The 8,117-nt window shown below is 36.4% G+C and overlaps 1 long non-coding RNA gene across 1 annotated transcript; it reads left to right on the top strand.

The window, feature by feature from the left end:
- Positions 1–1,147: 1,147 nt before the first annotated feature.
- On the top strand, positions 1,148–7,877 carry LOC101927827 (uncharacterized). The gene is made up of 3 exons (NR_121564.1): positions 1,148–4,046; positions 4,331–4,416; positions 7,640–7,877. It is a non-coding gene; the product is annotated as an uncharacterized LOC101927827 (long non-coding RNA).
- The last annotated feature ends 240 nt before the right edge of the window (positions 7,878–8,117 follow it).

Raw genomic sequence — 8,117 nt, 5'->3', positions numbered from 1 at the left:
CTGCAGCCTCCTGAGTAGTTGGGATTACAGGTGCCTGCTGCCATGCCCAGCTAATTTTTGTATTTTTAGTAGAGACGGAGTTTCACCATGTTGTCGAGGATGGTTTCAATCTCCTGAATTCATGATCCTCCTGCCTCGGCCTCTCAAACTGCTGGGATTACAGGCGTGAACCACCTTGCCTGGCCTATACATAATTTTTAAAACAGATACAGAATATATAGATAGCTTAACAATTATAAAATTGTATTTATCAAGTAGGTCACGAGGTAAACATTTTACGCTATGCAAAAGGGAGCAAACCTCCGAATTTGTCATGCAGGGTCACTAGTGGAACTCACAGCAACAGGTCTGATAAAGCAGAGGAGGGAACCGGGCTTCCGTGTGCTTTAGAGAGAGTGAAACATGAGGAGTCACAGGCAGAGAAAACTGTTTTTCAGAAAGAAAAGAAAGGGGACATGACAGCCCAGCAGTAGGGTGAAGAGGGCCTCTCCGTGGGTGCCGCTGGCTTGAGCTGCTGTAAGTGGCTGTGCCGGGAACAGAGGATCTGTATAGGAGAATGGGGAAGGGAGTGCTGGAACCGGGGGTGGGCAGGAGCAGCAGTCTGGAGACCAGAATGACCTAGGGTTTCCTCTCATGCTCCCATTCCCAGTGTTTCATGTGTGTAAAGTAGCAAGCATGCATATACTGCTTAGAGGCATCTACACTTAACATACTACACTCATATACAACACTTGCATCGTACAAAGTACACATAGTAGGTGTGGCATGTAATAAGTTACCCTCCTATATTTTCTTCTAAAAGATTTTTAAATATTTGCATCTCAAATTTAAGTCCTTTGTCCATTTAGATCTGGCCTTTGTGTGATAGCGATCCATTTTTGGGATAGAGATCCATTCTGATATTTTCCCATATGGATACCAACTGCTCATACCATGGATTATATAGACCCTTTCTGACTGTTCTGTAATGTTAGCCAGGGCATACATCAAGATTTCACACAAGCATACACTTTCACAATAGCAATTCCTGCTGTGGTAATTATAACTTCACAGTAAATCTGGTACGTGATAGACTCACATAAGCTCCACCTCCCACCTTCACACACTTTAGTCTTCTATGGGATTGTCTTAGTTATACTGGGCCCTTTTATCTTCCGTATAAGCTTTGGAAGCAGTTTAGTGACAATGGTACTCTTGTCTTTTTCTTGATTTTAAAAGGAGTGATTTCGATATTTTTAATCACAAAACATGATAGGTGCTGTAGGTTATTTGTTGACTCCTTTTATCAGGTTAAGGAAATTACCCTTTATTCATAGGTGGAAATATCATGAATTATTTAATTTTTGTAAAATAATTTTATAGGCCTTTTGAGACAATCATATAACTTTTGTCTTTAATTCATTGATAAGGAGATGATTTCAGTAGATTTTCTAACATTGAACTAAATTTGTATTACTAACCGAGCTTGTTCATGGTTTTTATACTTTGCTAGGTATACTTCCTAGTATTTTGTTTACAATATTTGTCTCTGTGTGCATGGATGAGGTACACAATAGCAAGGTTACCCTAGTCTCAAATGAATTGAAGAATGGCCTCTTTTTTCTCCCCTCGCAAATAATTAGTGTAACATTGGAACTACTTGTGACATCATCTGGGCATCCTGTTTTCTTTGTAGAATTATTAATTATCAACTCAATTACTTTAATGGTATGATTTCCATCCAGATTTTCTAATTATTTGAGTCAACTTTAATAAGTTAAATGTATCCAAAAATTTGTTAATCTCACTTATTTACAAATGCATATATTTAATTGTCTTATTACTTAATGAAATAGATCATAAATATAAAAGTGTGTATGTACAGCTTAAGAAGAATATAAAATGAGCATATGTGTCCTTCCTTCAGGTTATGAAATAGAATATTTCCAGTATCTTAGAAACTCCCATTGCCCTTCTACAATGCCACTCACTCCTTCCACAAGAGGTAACCACTATCCCTAACTTCCTGTTAATCATTCCATTGCTTGTCATTACAGACTTGTATATTGTTTAGTTTTGCACATTTGACTTTTTAAATAAGTGAAACTATGTATTGTTTCTTATGATCAGATATGCATACACACAAACATGTATATGTATGTATATATACACACATACACACATTATTTTTAAGAGCAGTTCAAAGTTCACAGCAAAACTGAGCAGCAGGTATAGATTTCCCATATACTCCCTGTCCCCCACACATGCATAGCCTCCCCCATAATAAACATCCCCCACCAGAGTGGTGCATTTGTTACAATTAAAGAACCTACATGATACATCTTATAGTTTGCATTAAGGTTCACACTTGGGCTTGGACAAATTTACAATGACAAGTATTCACTATTAAAATATCATACACGTACTTTCACTGCCTTAAGCATCCTCTGTGCTCTGGTTATTCATCCCTCTCTTCCTCCTAACTCCTGGGAACCACTGATTTTTTTTTCTATTTCTATAGTATTACCTTTTCCAGAAGGTCATAAAGTTGGAAGTGACATATGTGGCCTTTTTAGATTGGCTTCTTTCATTCTGCAGTATGCATGTAAGCTTCCACTGTGTCTTTTCATGGCTTGACAGCCATTTATTTTATCATTGAATGGTATTCAGTTGTCTGGATGTAATACAGTTTGTTTAATTATTCACCTACTGAAGGTAATCTTGCTTGTCTCCAAATTTTTGCAATTATAAATAAAACGTCCATAAACATCTGTGTGCAGGTTTCTGTGTGGACATAAGTTTTCAACTCCTTTGGGTATATACCAAGAAACAAGATTGCGGGGTCGTATAATAAGAGTAGATTTAGTTTTCTAAGATGCCACAAAACTATTCTCCATTTTGTATTTCCATCAGCACTGAATGAGAGTTCCTGTTGCTTCACATCCTCATCAGCATTTGGTGTTGTCAGAGTTCTGGATTTTTGCCATTCTAATATGCATGCAGTAGTATCTCATTGCAGTGCTGTGTTTGAGAATGTGAGTAGCTGCAGTTCATTCACTCTTAGTGCTGCGAGGTACTCTATTATTGGAATATATGATCATTTAGTTACCTATTCCACAATCTACCCATATTGAGAGATAACTGGATTGTTTCCAGGTTTTTAAAATTGTGAACATTCTCATATATCCCTAGGTAAACAAATGCAAGAATTTTTCTGGGGCCTGTAACAGGCTGACTAGATTGCACTAGGTTGTAGTGAAGCCGCTGGGTCAGAGGGTACATGCATGATCAGCTGTATGAGCTAACATCCGTTTTCCAAATGGCTGTCCTTCTACTTGCATGGGATGAATGCTTCCACGGTTCTTTATCCTTGCCAATACTACACCTTTCAGAACTTCCAAAAAATTTTGTCAATATGTGTGAAAGGGTATCTAATTGTTAATTTTCATTTTCATGATTATTATTAGGTTGAGCACTTTTTCACATGCTTATGGGCTATTTATGCTAACTTCTTGAGGTGTTATTTTTCACTTATTAATTTATAGGAGAGCTTTATATATTCTGGATACTAAACCTGTCTAGGTAACATGTGTTGCAAATATCTCTGCCAAGTTTTGCATATTTTTTTCTCATTGCGGTATCCAATAAACAGAAGTCTTAAATTTTTATGTGATCAAGTTAGTTTTTACTCTTGCCGTTTGTTCTTCTTCCCTATGTAAAGATAAAAGAGATGCTCCACAGTTTTTTTCTAAGAATGTTGAGAAGGTATCTTTATCCATTAAAATATATTTTTAGGTTTGGTCTATGGGATTAAGTTTCAATTTCCTTTTTTCCCCCTTATGGAGACCAGTGGTCCCAGTGTTGCTTATTGTAAAATTTACTATCTTCACTTAACCACAATAAAAGCTGTGTTACAAAATATGTTTCCAAGTATGTGTGAAAAATATATTTATCTTTATGATTCTACTCAGATTAATTAGCTCTCAGGACTGCTGTGTCCAGAGTTGATTCCTTCTGGTGGGTTCGTGGTGTTGCTGACTTGAAGAATGAAGCCGCCGACCTTCACGGTGAGTGTTTTCGCTCTTAAAGATGGCAAGGACCCGAAGAGTGAGCAGTAGCAAGGTTTATTGGGAAGAGCTAAAGAACAAAGCTTCCACAACGGGGAAGAGCACCCACGCAGGTTGCTGCTGCTGGGGTGGGGGTGGGGGGGTGGCCAGGTTTTATTCCCTTATTTGTCACGTTTCTATCCTATCAGAGTGCCCTTTTTTCAATCCTCCCTGTGATTGACTACTTTTAGAATCCTGCCGATTGATGCGTTTTTACAGAGCTTGCTGATTGGTGTGTTTTACAGAGCGCTGATTGGTGTGTTTTACAGAGCATGGATTGGTGCGTTTTACAGAGCGCTGATTGGTACATTTCACAGAACTCGTGAGACAGGTAAGTTCCTGATTGGTGCATTTTACTATCCTCTGGTAAGACAGGAAATTTCCCCAAGTCCCCACTCGACCCAGGAAGTCTGGCTGGCCTCAGCTCTTGCTACCAGAGGCTAATTTCCACCCTGGTATTTCTCAGGCCCATAGATAGTGTGAATTCAAACCCAAACCAATATGGCTATTGTTTTGTATTTAGAAATTATCATACGTTTTTTATTTTTCATTTTTTTGTCTACCCTATTGGGACCAAGACAAGCACATATTTTCACTTTCTTATGGGGGTGGGATTTTCCTAGCCCAGGCACTTAACGTGCTTCTTTTTAGAAATCCTAGATTTATGCAGGAGGCATTTTAGCCTATATTCCTTCCTGCATGGGCATCAGTCTCTGTTTCCTGAATTAGGTGCTCATGGGTCTGGGCCAGTAGGTCCTGGGAGACACCGCAGGGCAAATGCCAGATGAGACACTCACACCTCTGGATTCAGACTTTTTTTGCTCTTCTAGATATCTGAAAATTTGCCTTACTTTGACTCAGCCCATGCATTAAAGCAGATGCTTTTAAATATTTTATGATGCATGTTTTAGGAAAGGGTCTGTCTGGGTATTTCTTCTTTCGATTTTCATTTTTCATTCAGTTCTTCTTTCACACTATCCTAAGCATTAATCAACTCGCCATTTATGTCAGTACAAAACTTCACTATCCTGTTCATTATCACCATTTCATTTTGTTCTGCATAGGCCAGACTATTTATCTAAAAATGTTTAAAGAAATCTAAGGCCTTAAAGGATTCTTTCTCAAGGACTCTACTGTTTGTATTTAGAGAAATGCTCATTTGTTCCACTGTTTTACTTTCTTCTTGGGTCACGCTCTTTGATGACTGCGATCTTACAGAGGATGACAAAAGAGGGCCCACCCTGAGACAGTAATACCTGCTTGCCCCTTTGGATTTTATTAGTGTTATCAAAATATTAATAAAATGTCAAAAACAAATTACTATCATTAGAATGTGTGCCTCACTTAAAAATTTCTCTCTCTAATAAGAAGTTTTTGTTTCCTAGTTCCTTTGGTACCCTAATGTTTAGGTAAATATTCTCTGAGGAAAGGATGTGGAAGTCATAGCAAAATATATGCTGGACTTGAATGAAAATATCTGTTTCATAAAAGTTAAGCAGGCAACCAAAATTTACCTTTTTTAACCTAAATTATCTAAACATGTATTTACATTTCTGCTTCATTGAAAGATATTTGACATTAAATGTCCCTGAGACAGATTTTGGAATGCCCTCTCCTTCTAAAATATATTTTTTATCTTTTGTGGACTAAACAGTTAGTTAAAAATGAACTTAATGATTGCTAATTACTAAGTTATCTAAACAGTTATTTAAAAATGAACTTAATGATTGCTACTTAGTTATTTATAATGCATTTCAAAATTAACTTTATCATCTAAACCTTTTAACACAAATGTATTAAATTATGAAACAGGGAATTGGCTATTTTTGTTCAAATGTTTATTCTCATCAAACTTAAAATATCACTCAGCTATATGATTAAAAATGAAGGCTTCAGTCATTAAATTATTTCCCAGTTATTTGCGATATTTCTCCATATTAAAGGAACAAACAGTGCCCTTCGAATCTGTTGATAGTTCTATTGATAGTGGCCATCACAAGTTACACATTATCAATAAGGTCAAGGCACAAATAAAATTTCTCCCTTGCTTTTCACTCAAAAACTACAAGTATAGTTCTTTGATAAGATGTCCCAATCATGATTTGTGATGCCAATCATAGAAGGAAAGAGGATGTTGAGAAACAATAAAATAGCTACTTTAAAATGTTCTGTGCCTGAACATTTTGATGGCAATATTGGTCATATTATAAATTTGAAAATATAAATTTTAATCTAGATTGACTTTATTCTACTAGTGATTTTAAGAGCTTTATCCAAGAGAAACACTTACATTTTTATTCCTAATGTTTCTTTAAAAATGTGAAACTCCTTTTTTTTTTTATAATTTTAAAAATTCCTAGATAAGCAGAACATAGAGCCAACTGTTATGTTCTGGTTGTTTTTAATAGGTATATTTATGTTATCCCCCAAATTATAATTTATTAATGTCTAACTTCAGTTAGATGAGTTGATTACTTTTCATACACCATTGACTAAAGGAAACCTAATTTTACACGTAATTCAAGGGGATCTGTGAGTAAGAACATTTTTAAATTAAAGCAACACATGTGCATGGAAAATCATTCAAACAGTTTGATGGCAAAAAAATCAGTGGAAACCAGAAACTTTTTTTTTCCTTCCACAGACCTTGGTCCTGTTTTTCAGAGTTAGGCAGGTTTTATCATACTCTTTTTTTTACTATATGCTATTCTCTTGAACTGTAAATAATATTATATAATCACCTAATTTGTTTTATCAGTTTTAAGTAATATCCCTTGACTTTTTATGAACGATAGAGAATATAGCTCATTTACCCTACTTTCTTTTCTTTTTTCTTTTTTCTTTTTTTTTTTTTTTTTTGAGACGGAGTCTCACTCTCTCACCCAGGCTGGAGTGCAGTGGCGCTATCTCGGCTCACTGCAAGCTCCGCCTCCCGGGTTCACGCCATTCTCCTCCGTCAGCCTCCTGAGTAGCTGGGACTACAGGCGCCAGCCACCACGCCCGGCTAATTTTTTGTATTTTTAGTAGAGACAGGGTTTCACCGTGTTAGCCAGGATGGTCTTGGTCTCCTGACCTCGTGATCCGCCCGCCTTGGCCTCCCAAAGTGCTGGGATTACAGGCGTGAGCCACTGCACCTAGCCCATTTACCCCACTTTCTTCTTCTAAAACTATATTTCCAATTTAGTCTTTAATATATAATTTTAAGGGATTTTTAAAAATTTGCTTCCTCTAAATAATATACTTACAGTGCTTAATTCTTTGCTTAAATAATATATTGTTTAAATATACAGTCCATCCAATTTGAACACCACTGATTGGCTCAGTAGGATGTGGAGATTAGTGTACAACTTCCCTCCCCTCCAACAGTCCCTGTCATAGCTTTCGACTTGTATCAAATATGGTTCTATACTTATATTTTCACATTTTATGTAAATTACATCCTATTTTGTAATTATAATAAAGTCTGTGCTTTGTTCATAGGTTAATTTTGATCATGGAATCTCAGGTGAATTGACAGCATCATTATTATGTTTTCTTTTTTTTTCAAACCACAGTCGCAGGTGGCATGATTTGATTTGTGTGAAGGCAATGAAATGATACACAGATACACCGAAGCCTCCCAAAAGAATCCTGGTTCCAAGATTCAAGAAGATGGATTAATGTTTTTCCATTAATTGTTGGAATTTATGCCATTTTTTTACTATGTGCCATCAATTTTAAAGCACTTCTGAAAAGAGATAACAATCTACAATAGCTGGCATTTTAAATTCATAAAAATATAGTATTTTCTTCTATTTTTATACATTTATGATGCATTATTTCTTATTTCCCAGGAATTTTACTACCTTTGTTTTGAATGATTAAAAAGGAAACATAGCACCTTTTTTCAACACATCACCAAGATAGCCTAGTTAATATTCTTCTCTTTCTGAAGTAGTTGAATTGGGAGAGACAGCTTGCCAGGCCTGCTGCCACTTGTCAGCATCGCATCCCTACATTCAACCACACTTGCATCTAACGACCGTCTCTTTC

This window comes from Homo sapiens, chromosome 9 (assembly GCF_000001405.40).
Source record: "Homo sapiens chromosome 9, GRCh38.p14 Primary Assembly".
In the NCBI taxonomy this organism is placed as follows: domain Eukaryota; kingdom Metazoa; phylum Chordata; class Mammalia; order Primates; family Hominidae; genus Homo; species Homo sapiens.
Note: the sequence above shows the minus strand (reverse complement) of the source record. Positions and strands in the feature narration are given on the sequence as shown.